The following is a 20,634-nucleotide window of genomic DNA, read 5'->3' on the forward strand; positions in this document are numbered from 1 at the left end:
ATGACCATTTCACTCTTCTAATCCACGAGCAAGGAATGTTCTTCCATTTGTTTGTGTCTTCTCTTATCTTCTTGAACAGTGGTTTGTAGTTCTCCTTGAAGAGGTCCTCCACATCCCTTGTGAGCTGTATTCCTAGGTATTTTATTCCCTTTGTAACAATTGTGAATGGGAGTTCACTCATGACTTGGCTCTCTGCTTGTCTGTTGTTGGTGTATAGGAATGCTTGTTAATTTGGCACAATTGATTTTGTATCCTGAGACTTTGCTGAAGTTGCTTATCAGCTTAAGGAGCTTTTGGGCTAAGATGATGGGGATTTCTAGATATACAATCATGTTATCTGCAAACAGAAACAATTTGACCTCCTCTCTTCCTATTTGAATACAGTTTATTTCTTTCTCTTGCCTGATTGCCGTGGCCAGAACTTCCAATACTATGTTGAATAGGAGTGGTGAGAGAGGGCATCCTTGTCTTGTGCCAGTTTTCAAAGGGAATGCTTCCAGCTTTTGCCCATTCAGTATGATGTTGGCTGTGGGTCCGTCATAAATGGCTCTTATTATTTTGAAATATGTTCCATCAATACCTAGTTTATTGAGAGTTTTTAGCATGAATTGAATTTTATTAAAGGTCTTTTCTGCATCTATTGAGATAATTTTTTTGAAAGTATTGAACGTTTTATTAATGTTAAGTTTTGAAAGCTTCACATTTGGGATACACTAAGATATAGGACTACTGCTGCTTAAAGAAGTTATCCTTTAGCATTGGGTTGTTGGTTTAGGAGTTATGGAGCTTGGCTATTTTTTGCTAAGCATTCACAATCTATAAATTCACAATCTTGGTCTAGGACTTGGCTCAGTAAAGTTAGACTCTCATCTTCTTCCTCACCAAAGTGCTTCTCAATGATGTTCAAAGCAGACTGGCCAATCTGACAGTTCTCATGCAGTTGTAAAGCCTCAATTCTATCGATCCCACCGAGTTGTTCTATCAGAAAACATAGGATTTCCTTCTCAGACCGTTTCTCTGCCGCCTGGAGGATGCAAGAGATTACATCGAGGATGATGAGAACAATTTTAACATCTGGGGCAATGAGCAGATTTGCCAGTGGCTCCAGGACCCCAGAGTGGAGGATCAACTTATCCACGGTGACCCACATTGCAAAGTTAGCCACCGTCCAGACAGCCTCTTTCTGGACTTTAAATTCTCCATTTTTTTTAGCAGAGCCACCACGGGAGGCAAGACGTTGTAGGCAAGCAGCTGCTGGGTGTGGTGAGAGGGCCCTGCCGCCACGTTGCTCAGGGCCCAGGCCGCCTCCTGGATGGAGGACTTGTTGTGCTGCAGGAACTGGGGCAGCACGTTCAGCATGCCCGCGTCAATGGCCATCTGCTTCTGTTCATTTGTGCCTGTGATAATGTTCCCCATGGTACGGGAGAGAAGGGGTCCAGACATTGAGTTCTGAGATGGTCATGAGGGCTACTAGCCTGAGCAGGACCCCTGTGTCATCCACTTGGCCGATGAGCTCTTTGCAGCCGTAGGTGAGGTAGGACAGTGACCAGCAGGCTTCTGAGAGAACCTCGCTGTGGTGGCGCTGCAGGAGTGAGAGGGCACGCAGCATCTGCTTCACTGCAGTTTCGCAAGGGTACGGGGTCTTTTTTCGGCATAGGTTCGACCAGGTCCACGTGATGTTCCGCATAAATGTGATTGGTAGGGTGGGTGAAATCAAGGCCCGCAGATGTGGGATGGCATTGCTTGAGATGACATTATCTCTGAACTCCAGGCCGTCACTGGGTATATTACCAAGAGCCCACATTGCCTGTTCACACACAGCCACGTTGGGGGAAGACAGGAGCTTGATCAAGGGCTGGATGGGTCCCCCTTCTACCACGGCTCAAATCTGCTCGGAAGTCCCTGAAGCAATGTTGGTCAGGGCCCAGGCAGCCTCAAACTGCAAGCAGGGGTAAAGTGATGACTTCAGGAACTCTACCATCCTGGGAATGAGGCCCGCTTCAATGATCAATTTCAGAAGGGGGTTCTTTTCCTGGGATAGCATTTTCCTGGCTGTCTGGGTGGCCTGGAAACGTGGGACTGAATCTGAGCTATTCACACCTTTGATTATTTCACCAGAGTGAAGCTGACTGCCACCTCTTTGGCTGGTTTTTCGGAAGCTGTATCAGGGCAGAAGCTGGTGATATTCTTTTTCTTTAAGATCCGTTCATCTTTCTTGGCCTTTCGGAGCTCCAGGCTGACTGCTATCCTCTGCTGTCGCCTCCGAGATGCATCTTTGCCTCAGTACTTAAATTTTCTCAACCTCTTTTCTGGAGCGTCTAAGGTCACTTTTTATCATTGGTTCTGTTTAGGTGATAAATTACATTTATTGATTGGTGTATGTTGAACCAGCCTTGCATCCTAGGGATGAAGTCGACTTGATTGTGGTGCATAAGCTTTTTGATGTGCTGCTGGATTTGGTTTGCCAGTATTTTATTGAAGATTTTTGCATCAGTGTTCCTCAGGAATATTGGCCTTAAGTTTCCTTTTTTTGTTGTATCTCTGCCAGGTTTTGGTATCAGGATGATGCTGGCCTTATAAGATGAGTTAGGGAGAAGTCCATCCTTTTCAATTATATGGAATAGTTTCAGAAGGAATGCTAGCAGCTTCTCTTTGTACCTCAGAATTCAGCTGTGAATCCATCTGGTCGTGGGCTTGTTTTGGTTGGTAGGCTATTAACTACTGCCACAGTTTCAGAACTTGTTATTGGTTTATTCAGGGATTCGACTTCTTCCTAGTTTAGTCTTGGGAGGGTGCGTGTGTCCAGGAATTTCTCCACTTCTTCAGATTTTCTAGTTTATTTGTGTAGAAGTGTTTATAGTATTCTCTGATGGTTGTTTGTATTTCTGTGGGGTCAGACAAATAGACCAATGGAACAGAATAGAGATCTCAGAAATAAGACCATACATGTGCATCCATCTGATCTTTGACAAACCTGACAAAAACAAGCAATGGGAAAAGGATTCCCTATTCAATAAATGGTGCTAGGAAAACTGGTTATCCATATGCAGAAAATTGAAAGTGGACTCCTTCCTTACACCTTATACAAAAATTAACTCAAGATGGATTAAAGACTTAAATGTAAAACCCAAAACTATAAAAACCCTAGGAGAAAACCTAGGCAATATCATTCAGGACATAGGCATGGGCAAAGATTTCATGACAAAAACATCAAAAGCAATTGCAACAGAAGTGAAAATTGACAAATGGGATCTAATTAAACTAAAGAGCTTCTGCACAGCAAAAGAAACTATCATCAGAGTGAATAGACAACCTACGGAATGGGAGAAAATTTTTGCAATCTATCCGTTTGACAAAGGTCTAATATCCAGAATCTACAAAGAACTCAAACAAATTTATGAGAAAAAACAACACCATCAAAAACTGGGAAAAGGATATGAAAAGACACTTCTCAAAAGAAGACATTTATGCAGCCAACAAACATGAAAAAAAGCTCAACATCACTGATCATTAGAGAAATGCAAATCAAAGCCACAGTGAGATACCACCTCACAATATTCAGAATGGCAATTATTAAAAAGTCAAGAAACAACAGATGCTGGCAAGGCTGTGGAGAAACAGGAACACTTTTACACTGTTGATGGGAATGTAGATTAGTTCAACCATTGTGGAAGACAATGTGACTATTCCTCAGAGACCTAGAACTAGAAATACCATTTAACCCAGTAATCCCATTACTGGTTATCTACCCAAAGGAATATACATAATTCTATTATAAAGATACATGCATGTTTATGTTCATTGCAACACTATTCACAATAGCAAAGACATGGAATCAACCCAAATGCCCATCAAGGATAGACTGGATGAAGGAAATGTGGGACATATACACCATGGAATACTATGCAGCCATACAAAGGAATGAGATCATATCCTTTGCATGGATGTGGTTGGAGCTGGAAGCCATTATCCTCAGCAAACTAGCACAGGAACAGAAAACCAGACACCTCATGTTTTCACCTATAAGTGGGAGCTGAGCAATGAGAACACATGGACACAGCGAGGGGAACAACACACAGTGGGGTCTGTAGGGGAGCGAGGGGAGGGAGAGCATCAGGATAAATAGCTAGTGAATGCAGGGCTTAATATTTAGGTGATGAGTTGATAGGTGCAGCAAACCACCATGGCACATGTTTACCTATGTAGCAAACCTGCACAGCCTGTACAGGTATCCTGGAACTTAAAATTAAATAAAATTAAAGCAGAATTTTTAAATTTTGATGAAGTCTAATTTGTTCATTGTTTAAATGGTTCATGCTTCTTCTTTCCCACCTAGGAATTTTTGCTATATCAAGAGTGCAAAGATTTTCTTCCATGTTTCCTCCTGGAAATTTTATAATTTTTGCTTGTTTAGGTCTTCTCTAATATAAGTACTTAAGGCTATACATTATGTTCTAAGCTCTGCTTTAGTCTTATCCCACACATTTTGATGTTACTATTACCATTCCATTTAAAATATTTTCTAATTTTCTTATGTTTTCTTTGACCCATGCATTATTAAGAGGTATATTGTTTAATTTCTAAATGTTTGGGAATTTTCCTTATATCTTCCTGTTATTGATTTCTAATTTAATTATCTTGTAACAGAACATACTCCATATAATTTCAATCTGATTAAATTTCCCTATGGCCCAGAAAATTGTCTATTTTGGTGACTATTGTGAATGCACTTGAAAAGGATGTTTATTCTTTTTTTGAATGGTATATTCTATACATTTATCAGTTGGGTCCAGTTGGTTGTATTTTTCAAGTCTCCTATGTCTGTACTGATTTTTTTGTGTTCTTGTTTTATTAATTAATGAAAAAAACACTGTTGAAGCTCCCAGTTGTATTTGTGGTTTTATTTTTCCTTTCAGTTCTATCAGCTTTTTCCTTGGATATTTTGAATCTCTGTTACAGGATGCATACACATTTAGAACTGTTATATCTTTTTGATAAGTTTACCCCTTTATCATTATGAAATTTACCTCCTATTCCTGGTAATATTCCTTGTTCCGAACTGTACTTTGTCTGATGTTATCCATTCCAGTTTTTTTTTTTACAATGAATTTTTGCAGAGTATATCTTATTTTGTCCTTTTATCTGTAATCCACTTCTTGTAGTCCACTCTGGTAATCTCTGCCTTTTACTTCTTTTAATTAGAAAGTTCAGACCATTTATATTTAATGTGATTATTGCTATGGTTGAATTTAAAACTACTACTTTGATACCTGTTTTTTATTTGCCCCATCTGTTCTTTGTTCCTTTTTTTCTTTTATTTTTGTTTGGGGGTGGGGGTCAGTTGAGCATTTTATAATACTTCTGTTTATCTCCACTATTACTTATTAGTTATACTTAGGTTTTTGCTTTTGTGTTTTTAAAGGTTATTTTTGATTCTTGAATGTGCATCCTTTGCTTATCAACTTGTACTGTGGGTGACAGGGTTTGCTACCTTTCCCCCAGTGACTTAAGGCCTTTGTTCCACAGAAGAGGAGCCAGATGGGTTTTGTGCCTTTTTCACTCTACTGATGGAGGCCCTCTTCTCCCACCCTGCCCCAAATATTTCTCATGTCCACTTGTAGTTCTTCTCCACACACCCCCATTGAAGGTATGTGGAGAAGAACTGCAAGTGGACATAAACTTCCCTCATGTCTGAAACTCCCAGGGGCTCTATGATGTCCCACTAGCCCAAGTGAGGCCTAGCAACTTAAACTTTTTAAGTGAATTCATTTTACCCACTTTGATGATGCTCAGTGTCTCTTCCCCCAATACTCTGCCACAATTAAGCCAATGCTTGTATCATCTTGGAGGCTCCTGTCTTTCCTTGGCTTTCAGTCTATTTGGTTGCTCTTTATATCAGCTCTCTAATGAGATTAAGAAATATTCTGATTCTGTAGTTCATACATTTTTCTTGTACTTGGGGCAGGAATGATACCTTCCCAGCTAAATACTAGGCAGAAACAAAACTCTTGCAATAAGCTTTTATGCAGGCATTAGTCGTGGAAAAGCTGAGAAGCCAAACAGGGGTTGGTGAGCAACTCAGAGACTAGCAACATTAGATAGATTAGGCTGGAGGGAAAAAAAGAAGAGATACTGGTAAGCCCAGTAGCTAGGTTAATCTTGCAGAATCTAGAACCATAGAAGCTTGTCTGTCAGAAGCTGGAGCCATGGAAGAAACACAGACATTACTTAATATGTCACCTGAGGCATAGAATGAAGGAGGAAAATATCCTGTCTTTTCCTCTTCACATTCAGTTTCCGGACAGTTTTTCCCGTTAGTCAAACTAGCTATCTCCAATAGACATGGCAACTTGGAGAATATAGCATGCAGACAACAGATAACACTCTTATTAGAAGAGAGCAGGAAAAGGATAAAACATAGAGCTGAGGCCAGTCACACAAAGACTAGCACAGGTGTTTATCCTCTATTTCTGAATAATGTGTTTATGTTTCCCCACATTGATTTTCCAGTTTTAGACATTATCTATTATTGACTTCCTGACTTAGAAAATTTGGTTCTCTTCCACTACTCCTCTCTTACCTAACTCTAAACTTCCTCTATCTTGCAAATATTTATGTTGCAAATTTTTGTCTAAAAATAATGAGTGCTAAATTATTATAAGTGTGTATGTAGATGTTGTCCATAGCTGAATCATGTAATATAGTATATTAAAATGTTGTCTTAGCTAGGTGCAGTGGCTTATGCCTGTAATCCCAGTATTTTGGGAGGCCAAGGCAGGAGGACTGCTTGTGCCCAAAAGTTTGAGACCAGCCTGGGCAACATAGTGAGATCCTGTTTCTACAAAAAATAATAATAAAAAAAAATTAGCCAGGCATGGTGACATATGCCTGTGGTCCCAGCTACTTGAAAGGTTGGTGTGGGAGAATCGCGTGAGCCTGGGAGGATAAGGCCGCAGTGAGCTGTGATCATGCCACTTGTACTTCAGCCTGGATGACAGAGTGAGACCGTGTCTCAAAATAGAAGTTGCTTTAATGTGGTAAAATGCACATAATATAAAACTTACCATCTTAATCATTTTTAAGTGTACGCTTCAGTAGGTTAAGTATATTCAGTTTGTTGTCCAACCAATCTCCAGAATTTTTTCATACCTATTAAACGACTTCCTGTTTTCCCCTCCCCCGAGCCCCTGGGAACCACCATTCTACTTTCTATTTTTTTTTTTGAGTTTGACTTCCCTAGAGATATCTCATACAAGTTGAGTCATGATTTTTACCTTTTTGTGACTGGCTTATTTTACTTAATTAATGTCCTCAAGATTCATCCATGTTGTAGCATGTGTCAGAATTTCCTTCCTCTCTAAGGCTTAATAATATTTCATTGTATTACCTACCATATTTTGTTTATCCATTCATCCATCAGTGGATGTTTGGGTTGCTTTTACTTTTTGGTTATTGTGAATAATGCTGTTATGAACATGGGTGTATAAATATCTCTGAGATCCTAGGTGCAAATCTTTTCACTAAATATCCAGAAGTAGAATTTCTGATTTATATGGTATTTCTGTTTTTAATTTTTTGAGGAACCATCATACTGTTTTTCACAGCAGCTGTATCATTTTACCACCAAAAGTTCACAAGAGTTCAAATGTCTCCACATCCTCACCAATATCTATTTTCTTTTTTTTTTTTTTCAATAGCAGCCATTCTAATGGGTGGGAGGCAATACCTCATTGTGACTTTGATTTATTTTCACTTCCAAAATTATTAATGACATTGAGCATCTTTTCATATGCTTATTGGCCATTTGTATATCTTATTTGGAGAAATATCTATTCAATTCCTTTGCTGGGATTTTCTATTTCTGCAAAAAAAATCATTGGGATTTTGATAGGAATTGCATTGAATCTGTAGATCGCTTTGTAGAGTATTGACATCTTACTATATTAAGTCTTCCAGTACATAAACACAGGATATCTTTCCATTTATTTGTGTCTGCCTTAATATCTTTCAGTGATATTTTGTAATTTTCAGGGTGCAAGTCTTTTGGCTTGCTTATTCTGAATATTTTATTCTTTTTGATTCTATCATAAATGGAATTATTTTCTTAATTTCCTTTTCAGATTATTCATTATTAGTGTGTAGAAATATAGCTAATTTTTTTCGTGTTTTGATTTTGAATCCTGTAATTTTGTTGAATTTGTTTATTATTTCTAACAGGTTTTTTTGTGGAATCCTTAAGATTTTCTACATACAAGATTCTGTTGTTTATGAATAGAGGTAATTTTAATTCTTCTTTTTGGATGCCTTTTATTTCTTTTTCTTGACTAATTGTTCTGGCTAAGACTTCTAGTACTATGTTGAATAGAAGTGTTGAAAGTGAGCATTCTTGTCTATTTCCTGATCTTGCAGGAAAGCTTTCAGTCTTTCACCTTGACTATGATAGCTGTGGACTTTTCCTATGTGGCCTTTATTGTGTTGAGGTAGTTTTCTTCTATTCCTGTTTTGTTGAGTGATTTTTTTTTTCATCCTTAAAGGGTACTGAATTTTACTAAATACACATTCCAATTTTTTAAAGACAATTTTTTTTTACTCTGAAGTTTAAAATTGCTTGATTTTCTATGTACCTGTCACCAATTTTTAATCCCTAAATACTCCAACAGATCAATGAATTACTTATCAAAACAATCAAACACATCAGGTAATCTATCAATTAATTTTTTCCCCTGGTGACTTTGCCTCTGATGCTCTCTATTCTCTAGGCAGAACTGATTGCTCTGAAGGCTGAGCCCTCAGCTATTATGCTGGGTCTTCACTTTAGCACCATCCAGGAATTCTTTTTGCCTGTCACCTATTTGAATGTCCTGTTTCCTCTATCCCCTATCTTATTCTTGATTTTGATAGAGCATAATTTATAGTAACTTTATTTATTATTCATGATGGGTAGTTTGGTTGGGCACAGAATTTCAGGTTGAAAATATTTTTCCCTCAATATTTTGAAGACATCAGTCTCTTCTAGCTTCCAAAGACGAGTCTTAGACATTGTCTGATGTTTGGACAGTTTATTCCAGAAGTGCTCTTACAAGACAGATAGCGGGAGCAGGCTGGTGGCATGGGCCAGATAGAGTCAGGAGTCAGATGACTGGGAGAGTCTCCATCTGGGGACCATTCTCAGAGTTTGGGGGATTCTTTCTCCTTTTTCATACTATTCAGTCCAGGTCAGTTGCCAGGTGTTTCTTTCATAAAGGAAGTATTAGCATTCTTGTGAGGGTAAGCATTGTTTTAAGGTTGCATCTATGTTGAGTGGTCTTGTCCCTAGGGCAACCAGCATTTTTAGGTCTCATTGTCATACAGACCCAGTAATTCCCAGGCCATGGTTGGAAATCTTAGGCCAGGTTTCACCATACTGCTAAGTGAACACATAGTGTAGACCCTGTGAGATATTTGAGAGGGACTTTTGGCCATCATTAAACTTATAGCAACAATATGTCTCTTTTTTTAATTTTTAATTTAATTTTATTTTATTATTATACTTTAAGTTTTAGGGTACATGTGCACAATGTGCAGGTTTGTTACATATGTATACATGTGCCATGTTGGTGTGCTGCACCCATTAACTCGTCATTTAGCATTAGGTATATAGGTATATCTCCTAATGCTATCCCTCCCCCTCCCCAACCCACAACAGTCCCTGGAGTGTGATGTTCCCCTTCCTGTGTCCATGTGTTCTCATTGTTCAGTTCCCACCTATGAGAGAACAATTGGTGTTTGGTTTTTTGTCCTTGTGATAGTTTGCTGAGAATGATGGTTTCCAGTTTCATCCATGTCCCTACAAAGGACATGAACTCTTCGTTTTTTATGGCTGCATAGTATTCCATGGTGTATATGTGCCACATTTTCTTAATCCAGTCTATCGTTGTTGGACATTTGGGTTGGTTCCAAGTCTTTGCTATTGTGAATAATGCCACAATAAACATACGTGTGCATGTGTCTTTATAGCAGCATGATTTATAGTCCTTTGGGTGTATACCCAGTAATGGGATGGCTGGGTCAAATGGTATTTCTAGTTCTAGATCCCTGAGGAATCGCCACACTGACTTACACAATGGTTGAACTAGTTTACAGTCCCACCAACAGTGTAAAAGTCTTCCTATTTCTCCACATCCTCTCCAGCACCTGTTGTTTCCTGACTTTTTAATGATCGCCATTCTAACTTGTGTGAGATGGTATCTCATTGTGGTTTTGATTTGCATTTCTCAGACGGCCAGTGATGATGAGCATTTTTGCATGTGTTTTTTGGCTGCATAAATGTCTTCTTTTGAGAAGTGTCTGTTCATGTCCTTCGCCCACTTTTTGATGGGGTTGTTTGTTTTTTTCTTGTAAATTTGTTTGAGTTCATTGTAGATTCTGGATATTAGCCCTTTGTCAGATGAGTAGGTTGCGAAAATTTTCTCCCATTCTGAAGGTTGCTTGTTCACTCTGATGGTAGTTTCTTTTGCTGTGCAGAAGCTCTTTAGTTTAATTAGATCCCATTTGTCAATTTTGTCTTTTGTTGCCATTGCTTTTGGTGTTTTAGACATGAAGTCCTTGCCCATGCCTATGTCCTGAATGGTATTGCCTAGGTTTTCTTCTAGGGTTTTTATGGTTTTAGGTCTAACATGTAAGTCTTTAATCCATCTTGAATTAATTTTTGTGTAAGGTGTAAGGAAGGGATCCAGTTTCAGCTTTCTACATATGGCTAGCCAGTTTTCCCAGCACCATTTTTTTTTATTATACTTTAAGTTTTAGGGTACATGTGTACAATGTGGTTTGTTACGTGTGTATACATGTGCCATGTTGGTGTGCTGCACCTAGTAACTCGTCATTTAACATTAGGTATATCTCCTAATGCTATCCCTTCCCCCTCCCCCGACCCCATAACAGGCCCTGGTCTGTGATGTTCCCCTTCCTGTGTCCATGTGTTCTCATTGTTCAATTCCCACCTATGAGTGAGAACATGCGGTGTTTGGTTTTTTTGCTGAGAATGATGGTTCTTATAGTATGCTACACAATGTAACTTTGAGATGTCTAATGATACACTGATGCGAACCATTTTCTTCTATCTGAAAATTTTAGGTCTTTTCTTTCTCCCCTGCGTGCTGAAGTATTACCATAATGTGCCTTGGTGAGAGTCATTTTTATTCATTTTGCTGTGTACTGTGTGGACCTTTTCAAACTGGCGCTCATGTCCTTCAGGTCTGGGATGTTTTTACGTGCGTGCTATTTTTTGAAGATATTCTCTTGCCCATTTCTTCTGTTTTCTTTTCCTGGAACTCTTAATAATTAAACTGGATGCTGAACTTCCTCTAACTTTCTTTTTTTCCTACCACTATTTTCCATCTCTTTGTCTTTTTTGCTTTTACTTTCTAGATTTCCTTAACTTTATCTTCTAATTGTGGGATTTCATTTAAAAAGTATATATCCGTACTTTAATTTTAAAAACTTCTTTTCTCGAAATGTCCCTTTTTTAATTGACTTCTGTTTTTATGAAGGTAATGCTTTATTATCTCACTGATTTTTGCTCCTAGTCTAATGCCTTAAATTTATTTTTCTTATATTTATACTGACTAGGCCTACCAATATAATATTATTATTATTATTAATTTTTAATTAACAAATAAAGATATATATTTATGTATACAGTGTGTTTTGAAATACATGTACATTGTGGAATGGCTAAATTTAGATAATTGACATGTGCATTTCTCATATGCATTTTTGTGTGCAATGAGAACACTTGAAATCTGCTTAAAATTAGTAATCAAGTATACAATATATTGTTATTTATTATAGTCACAATGTTGTACAGTAGAGCTCTTGAACTCATTCTTCCTAACTGAAATTTTATATTCTTTGAACAACATCTCTCTAAACCCTTATCTCTCCACACTCCCAGCCCCTCGTAACTACTGCTCTACTCTGCTTCTATGAGCTCAACTTTTTAGATTCCTATAAGTGAAATCATGTGGTATTTGTCATTCTGTGCCTGATTTAGCATCATGCTCTCCAGATTCATCTGTATTCAGGCACCTGTTGTTCTTCATGCTCTGACTGAATGGGCTGGTGGAGTTCAGTGGTGTCCTATCTATTCCTTATAAAGATTGTCACAGTCCTTTTGCTTTCAGACCAGCTTAAACTGTTGGACTCAGTGATATCTAGTTTATTCAATTCTTGAGAATTCTCAAGGTTCTGTAACTTCTTAACTGTTTGGCGTATAATTAGCTTACTTCTTATTAGATATCCTATTATAGACTCAAGCTTCATCTCTCTTTGGTCTATGAGGCCACTTCTCATTTATTGCTTTTCAGTTTCTAGATTTTGTTGACATCTCTCATATGCTGTCATTATTTCTCTTTTTTGTGGATTTATAGTTTTAAATTCCTTTTCCTTTTATTTTAGTGGGATTTTAGAAGGTAACAAGGAAAAAACAATTATACTGAGTCCAGCAAGCTTACCCATAAATTTATTTTAATTAATAATTCTATTTTAATTGAGAAAAATGAAATAAAAGAAGTGATTAGTAAAGTTATAATTGGGTTAATTTATTTGGGTAATTCAACTTAAAAAATAATTTTTTTATTAATAGTAAAGTGATGAGGAAAAATGAACATATTGCTTTAGCTATTAGATATTTCACTTTACATTTTCTTTTCATGATTTTAAAGATTATAATGACAACAAAAATTATAATACAAGGGAAAAATGCAGACTACAAATTTGTAAATACTGCTTGATCACACATATGTAAATCTTGAGTTTCAGGATGAAAAGATAGATTTTATGTTCCCTTTGTATGCCAATAAAAATAGTTATTATAAATATTCTTTACTTTTCATTTGTAGTATTCAGGGTGCTTTGATGTTTACCAGTGGTCATTTTGAGCCCATAAAATGGTAAGAAGTAGCTCTGAATGGGAGCACGGAAAAAGGAGAACAAAGAAATAGGCTAGACACCACAGAAAACTCTGGACTCCGAGATAGGCAAGCAGCTTTTGAAGTGGTCCTTGACATTTTTCCTGGCGCTATAACTGGTCATGACTTTGGAAAGTCTTTCTATTAGCAGATGACGAGCATATTTATAGTTGTAAATGTCAGACAGGCCATGTTGGGAGTGGGCAGCTCTGGAACTGTGTATGTGGGAGGAAGGGTATTTTTTTCTCCTTGTAGTTTTTTGTGTTCTCCAAATTTTCTATAAAAATCATCTATTAACTGCCAGTGGAGAGTTTAAGAGATGTTCAATAGATGGGGTCAACAGGATGCAGATGTGTGTAGGACATAAAGAAGAGGAAGAAGGACCCTGGGTTCTGGGCAGGCAAGGGATGTAGTGCTCTGAACTGGCCAATGTAGTTCCTTCTAAGGGAGCTATCCCTGCTTCCAGTCCCTAACAGAAGAGAGGCCACAGGTGCACCTATGATCCCACCAGCCTTGGGCATAGTTGATTAGAATAGGTATGAGCTTTGGCCCAGAACTAAACTTTGACAAATTTCTTTGACACTCCTCTCTTTGAAAGGTGGATATATCTCCTCCAACTCCTTGAATCTGAGCTGAGTTTAGTGAGCAGCTGACTGCTAAGAGTATGGTGGAAGTGATGCCACGTGACTTACAAGGCTAGGTCAAAAAAGGCAATGCATCTTTTGCTTGGCTCACTGGAACAGTCACGTTGGAACCTTGGGCCACCATGTAAGAATTTCTGTCATCTGAGGCCATCATCCTGGGATGAAGCCCAAAGTAGTGTACATGGAGAGACCCTGCAGAGAGCCGAGAACCCTTGAAACCTCAGAGGAAAGAGAGGTGCCTAGCCAGCCCCCAGCTCTTTCAGCAGTTATAGTCTTCCAGCTCCAGCCTTTGACTACAGCTATGTGGCAGACTCTGAACCAGAACTACCTGGCTGAATGCTTCTCAAATCCTTGACTCCCAGAAACAGGAAAAAAAAAAAAAAAAAGATCATTGTTTTAAACCACTGAAGTGTGTAGTTTTGTGACGCAGCTATAGGTAATTGACTTATGGTACCAAAATATTTTCCAATTGTCTACTGCTATATAACAAACTATCCCAGAACTTAGGGTATAAAGCATGCATTTTATTATGCCCACACATGCTGTATATCAAGAATTCAGACAGGCACAATAAGCATGGCTTGTCGCTGCTCCATGATATCTGATGCATCAGCTGGAAAGACTCAAAGGCTGGGAGTGATCGACTGGGGACTGTTGTCCTCTGCAGATAGCTTTACTCACACATGTCCGGTGGTTGATGCTGGCTGTTTTCTGGGACCTCCGCTGGAACAGTCAGCCACAGCCCCTACCTGGCCTCTTTGTGTGGCCTGGGCTTCTTCATAGCCGGTGGTCGGATTCCAAGAGCAAGCTGCTGGTGTCTTAAGGCCTAATCCTGGAAATCTGCACACTGCCACTTCTATTGTATTCACAAAGTCCAGATTCCAGGGGAGGAGACATGAACCCTGTCTCTGGATGGGAGAAGTGTCAAAGATTTTTGTGTACCTTTTAAAAACTGTCACACATCCCGTAGGCTAGGCAGTGATCTATAACATGGTCTGGCTCAAAAAGATGAACTGGGTTAATTATTTTCTCTTTTCAAAAATTTGAACTAAGGAATACAAAGGAACACTTTAGTTAGAAGTGGTGGGTAGAGATGAAAAAATACCATGAAGTATAGACAAGGCCATGGTAAGTCCAGGTTATAAAGAGTCAGGAACTATGAGAAAGCAAAACATCTACGGAGTAGAAATACAATGAAGAGAAAAGGAGAAATGCAATAAAAGAAAATTCATATAGTCCTGGAGAGAGATCATGACAAGGCAGGGAGCCTCTAGAATGCCCAACTCTTTCTGACAGTTCCTATTCAGTTCCCATTCATTTGTTGTTTTTGACACTGATCTTACTTTTCTTACCCATTTTTCTAGGTCACAGTCAATAACAATGTCCTACATGGCAGTAGGACATACTGAAATGAGCGGGGCTAGGCAGCAGGTTTCTTCAGTCCTCAGAATTTTTACTGACATGGTGAGAGCCACATTAGAGAGAAAGAGAAATAACTATGTGAAGCAGTTGCTGCTGAGTAGTAAGAAAGAGCCACTGTGTGCTTATTACTGCCTCTGCACTTTATTACAGTCTGGGAAGAGGTATAGGAAGTGGGAGCAAGAAGAGAAACTACTTCACTATTTCCAAAGATGTATTGTTTTATAATGCACATTGAAATGGAAATGGATAACAGTAGATATATGGTTTTATCCAACTGTAGGGATTATTTTCATAAATAAGAGAATGAATAAAATTTCAAAATACATTTGGCCAATAGCTTTTCCCTGAAATTTGAGAACCCTTATCTGGTAGACATTAGCCACATGATTACTAAATTTAGTGGCATACTTTTGTGTGTGTGTGTGTGTGTGTGTGTGTGTGTGTGACAGAGTCGCACTCCGTCGCCCAGGTGGAGTGCAGTGGCGCGATCTTGGCTCACTGCAACCTCTGCCTCCCGGGTTCAAGCAATTATCCAGCGTTGACCTCTTGAGTAGCTGGGACTACAGGCATGTATAGTGGCATACTCTTTTAATAGAAATATTTGTTACCCAAGAAACTAGGGCCGAGCATGGTGGCTTATGCTCATAATCCTACCACTTTGGGAGGCGCAGGCAGAAGGGTTGCTTGAGCACAGGAGGTTGAGACTGTAGTGAGCTGTGATTGCAGCACTGCACTCCAGCCTGGGTGACAGAGTGAGACCTGACTCAAGAGAAAAAAAAAAAAGAAGGAAGAAAGGAAGAAAAACAGAAAGAAACTAGCTATTTTCCCGATGTCTTAAATGGGACATTTTGATTTTATCTACTGCTATATACTGATTTTCTCTTCTAAAGAAATAGTAGGCAGTCATTAAAGTACCACTATCAAAAAGGTGTTGATGCCAAAGATATCATTATTTTATTAGAAGAGAGAATTCTGGGCTGTGAATAATACTGATATGTATATTTGTCTTACAGGGCTCGCTTGCTGCTTCCTTCCTTCCTTCCTTTCTTCCTTCATTCCTTCCTTCTCTTCTTCTTCTTTTTTTTTTCCTTTACCAAAGACTCACTTAAAATTCTGCCAATAAAGTAGTGTTTTGAGCTGCTCTTGCTATGACAGAGAGGATACAATGTGAAGTCAAGTCAGGGGAAGGTTGTACCTACTTACAAGGGTCATTCTTTGAAAAACATCTGGGTTTTTCCTCTTTTATACCATAACACACTAACATTTAATACCTATTGTAGTTATTTAACCTAATAACCGTACCAAAGATATAATGGATCTTTCTCCTGTAGGAGGAACATAGAATAATAATGCTTTAATTTTGTATGTCTCTGTTCTCTAATGGCAGGCTGTCATTTTCTATAATTTACCAGAGATTATGAACAATGTGTGTAGGCTGAGTGTAGTTGCTTAGTAACCACCTTTTAAAACTTTCTTAAATGTAATTGCCTCTCTGCCAGGGAAACACTGATTCAACAAATTTGCATTGAACCACTTCTTAAGCAACTCAACACATTAAATGTCCCTGTGCTTTTTATTTCAAATTATTTGCCTTTTAAATTCTGTTAAGGTAAGCCACCTTTGTTATGATCATTATTTCTCTTTGAACAAAGTGAGACTTCCAAATGATTATCTGTACATTGTCGTATTCCCTACTGTTTTTCTGTATCTCTGTTCTTATTGCTTTTTTAGAGTTGAAGATAGAAACTTGCAAAAAATCATGAAAATCCCCAGTTTCTCTCTGAATAATTCTAAATGCTTTCAAACACCACCAGTCTGGAGTTTGTTTAAACCTGTATATCAAAATTTGCATCATATGAATGTTCTCTTGGCTTCTGTCTCTGATTTCACCTCTTTCTGTTAATCAAGCATCTATATTGCTCTTAAGAAAATGTGAACCGCATGAGGACAGCTTGCCCATAACTTCACTTTTTATGGTTGTGTCCACCCATGTACACTGACTTGCAGGGGGAAAGGGTTAAAAGGTAGACTTCAGTGGAATATCTACTGTTGGTGTTTCAAATCATTAATTGCTTTGCCATTTCAAGTCCAACTTGTATAGCTGCCCACATTTTCTCATTTGGCTGAAAGTTCTGTTGATGTAGGAATAGTTCACAGCTGATAACAAAGTTGACTTCCTCTTTGATTCTAAGTTTGAGGTGGATGTAAGATAGAAGAGACCAGAAATAGATTTGAGGAAATGAAAGGTTTGTATTTCTGTTCCCAACCCCCAGAATTAGTAAATGACCTCCAAGCTAGAGGAGAGGAGATTTTAGAGAAAGGAAAAAAGGAAATGAGAAGTAGTGTAATGATTGCACTCTCTGAACTCCACCTATGCACCTGTCTCCACCCTATAAAATCTTCCTTAAGTCTCAGGATCCTAAAGAGGAAAGTCCCAGGTACGATCTAGAACAACAGCAAGATGGAGAGAAAAGCCCAGCTCCATGCCAGCTTAGCAAAATGGGAGATGGTATTTATGAAAAAAAGTAAACCAGAGACAACACCCTCTCCTCAACTTTTCCCATGGATCTGGAATCCAGTTTTTCCTAGGGATCCAGTATGGGGACACAGAAGTTGTCTAAGAGTAGGAGCTGGAACGCCTCCCAGGAAGTCACCTATTGGTGTGAGAAGGTCTTCACTGAAAGAATGCTGCATGCACTTCCAGCCATGGTCCAGATGGAGTGTGGAACTGAATCCAGAGGACTGGCAGCACCAGAAGGCAAAGAAGAGCCTGTTGTCAAGAGCTCTGAGCCCTGCTCAAGGTCACATTGTATACCACTTGAACCAAGAGGGCAGGGGAGTTATATCAGCAGTAGACACTAGCAGAGACAGGGCCTTAGAGCCTTAGAGTAGTTACATATATTCTACCAAGGCCACAGTGCTCCCAAAGGCTTCCTTAGGACTCAGAAACTGCCCTGGGGAGAAGGATGAAGGAAGACAGAACATTCAGCTCACTAAAATTTAACCTGGTAAGTGACTTGATAACAAGTCAGAATTGGTTGCGAGGAGAATCACTGCTGGACTGAGAAATCTCAAAAGTTCTTGTTTTAAGTTGTCTGCCATTAGAAAATCCACAGAAACAACTTTGGGTTATATGAATAAAACAATTGAACATGTTTGCACTGTTTAGTTCATACCTGTGTGGGTCAGCCTGGTTGTGTCTCAAGATAGGAGGGGTTGGGGGGTGTGTATGGGAAGGGACAGAGGAGGTGGTAAGTCTGAGTGTATTGGAACATATATCCTATATGGGACAGTCTGGTGATAGGATCAAGAATAGGCTACCTGGACACAAGCAGCTGTGGTTTGAATCCCTACTCTGTCAATTACCAGTTTTGTGATTTGGGGCAAATTCTTCAATCTGCTGAATCTGACTTTCCTTATCTGCAGAAATATGATAATATTCAACTCCATATGGTTGTTTTGAGGTTTTGAGATAATATACATTAAATATTCGGCACGTAGTGCCTAGAATGTAATGACAGTGTATCATATCCTTGACCTCCAGTGCTCTTCCCTCATCCCCACCCCCACCAGCCCCTTCTATCTCCCCGTATGCATGAAAGAAGTCTCTGAGTGGGTAGAACTTTATCTTATTCACTTCTGTTTTCATAGTGTCTGGCACATAGTAAGTTCCCAATAAATAGTTGTTGAGTGAGTAAGTTGGGGTGGAACTCTAGGAAGACAGCTGGGAGTATTAAAGCAGGTTCTGCATGTGAGATAAGTCTCAAATGGAAGGATAAAACTTAGTGGAGTGAATGGAAGAGCAGGTGGTTACAAATGCTAAGCTTCAGGAAAGTAGGTTTTGATCAGAGTGAGATAAACAGAACTCAATTACATATACACCTACTTACAATAGAAAAGGAACAGAAATCTATGGTCTGTATACACAAAAAATCCTGTGCTATAAAGCAATACCTTTATATTTAAAAAAAGACCACTGTATAGACCACCATTTGTGTTTTCCAACAGTGTGGTATACATTTGTGGGGAAGTACCCGTGTGTATGTTAGTGTGTATTTCTGAATGTGTATAAAATACTTGGCCTAGATTTTTCAATCTTACCTGAGCTTTTTGATCAATCTTTCTATCATCTATCTTATGCAAACTGAATTTTTCTCTATTAAAAATGTAAATAGAATTTAACTACATCACAAGGTCAGTATTAATGCTTTATGATTCTTTGAGAGCTTGTAAAGATGAAGAAAGTGTTAAAAGATTTGAATTTGAAATTTCAAGATCACTGTAGGTTTTTAGAATGCAATTAACCCTTAGACCTGGCTCATTTATAAAATGAGTAACAGACTTGACCTTGGAATAAGAGCAAACTCTCAAACGATATTGGGTTTAGGACATAGTATGCCTTTCCTCTTTTCTTCCTTTTCTTTTCTTTTTTTTAAAATAAGAAACCTTTAAAATCTCATGTTTATAGTTTTTATTATTTTTATCATAACTGCTTAGAATGATGGCTAATGGTTTTCTGAAGTAAGAATTTTGTATTTCTAATTTTTGAAGAGATTTAATATCTTTGATATGGTAAATGATGCTGTTTAATTCTGTTTTCCTTGAAAATCTTCATTTGATTTCATAGTTTTAGGTATATAAGGAATGTCCTACATATAAAATAATCTTCCCTCATATTATGACACTCTCATCAAGCTGTTCATAAGCAGATTTAGCAGATAAAAATTAGATGTTAGACCAACAAATGACTATTAAGTACTTCTTTCTGTGCAGAATGATTTACTAAATCACAGGTGCCCTGAATTAAAATGTATACACACACCGTTCCCGTGATTGGTGTGATCATGTTTTTCACTTCTGAGGCAAGTTAATTTTCTATCAATTTGTTATATATTTGCAAAAAAATCACAAAATACTTATGTTTTTATTAGGATTTTAAGCTTTGAAACTCTAGCTTCTTATTTTTTTCTAATCAACAACATGAAATTAGATTTGTGAGTGGACTATTGCTTTTCATTTTTAAGAACAAAATGACCAATTTGTTACTATGACTACCTAATGTCATAGGTAGGTAGTGACTATCTAGGTTGGTGGTGTGGGTACATATGTAACAAAACTGCACGTTGTGGACATGTACCCTAGAACTTAAAGTATAATAAAAAAAAAAGCATATATATGTATAAAAAGAATTTACCGAGACAATTTTAGGTTAGGAAAGGCAGATTTATTAGAGAAAGTATGAAAATACATTGTAAGGGTGCAACAAACAGGTCAGCAAGAAAGGAGCTGACTGCAAGGAGACAAAGGCTTGCTGGGGATTTTATAGAATGGTGCTGTGCTGTGTGCTGCAGAGGGCTTTGTACTAATAATGCCAGTGTTGCAGTGAGCTAACTTGGATTTTTCTATCAGCCGAGGGGCTGTTGATAAGTCGGGCATAGGAAGATTCTGAGTTATTTGCACAGGAGGGCTACGTGTCCTGTATCATGAAGAAAGGCAGACTCATAGCTTATCTGCTTTCTCTTTTTGCTCTCCCCTACTCCCACCAGCCTAACTCCTTTTCCCTAAATAGGACTCCACATCTAACACTTGTCAGAATTTAATCGTTAAATCCCAGGATGGCA

The 20,634-nt window shown here is 38.3% G+C and overlaps 1 protein-coding gene and 1 pseudogene across 1 annotated transcript in view, besides 3 other annotated features; one reads left to right on the forward strand and one right to left on the reverse strand.

The window, feature by feature from the left end:
- On the reverse strand, positions 656 to 2,326 carry LOC391798 (karyopherin subunit alpha 7 pseudogene; annotated as a pseudogene).
- Positions 16,898 to 16,947: an enhancer, noted in NCBI's record as "active region_22685". NCBI's record gives its function as "activates an Ori minimal core promoter by ATAC-STARR-seq in GM12878 lymphoblastoid cells {active_cell/tissue: GM12878}" and the evidence as "EXISTENCE:reporter gene assay evidence [ECO:0000049][PMID:35858748]".
- Positions 16,968 to 17,047: an enhancer, noted in NCBI's record as "active region_22686". NCBI's record gives its function as "activates an Ori minimal core promoter by ATAC-STARR-seq in GM12878 lymphoblastoid cells {active_cell/tissue: GM12878}" and the evidence as "EXISTENCE:reporter gene assay evidence [ECO:0000049][PMID:35858748]".
- The window catches only part of SV2C (synaptic vesicle glycoprotein 2C), a 506,476-nt gene continuing 502,838 nt past the window's right edge, over positions 16,997 to 20,634 (forward strand). Inside the window, exon 1 of the mRNA XM_011543282.4 lies at positions 16,997 to 18,021. The gene's annotated coding sequence lies outside the window, so the exon portion shown is untranslated. The remainder of the gene's footprint in view (positions 18,022 to 20,634) is intronic.
- Positions 17,098 to 17,147: an enhancer, noted in NCBI's record as "active region_22687". NCBI's record gives its function as "activates an Ori minimal core promoter by ATAC-STARR-seq in GM12878 lymphoblastoid cells {active_cell/tissue: GM12878}" and the evidence as "EXISTENCE:reporter gene assay evidence [ECO:0000049][PMID:35858748]".

The sequence above is a fragment of the Homo sapiens genome, chromosome 5, assembly GCF_000001405.40.
Source record: "Homo sapiens chromosome 5, GRCh38.p14 Primary Assembly".
NCBI lineage: Eukaryota > Metazoa > Chordata > Mammalia > Primates > Hominidae > Homo > Homo sapiens.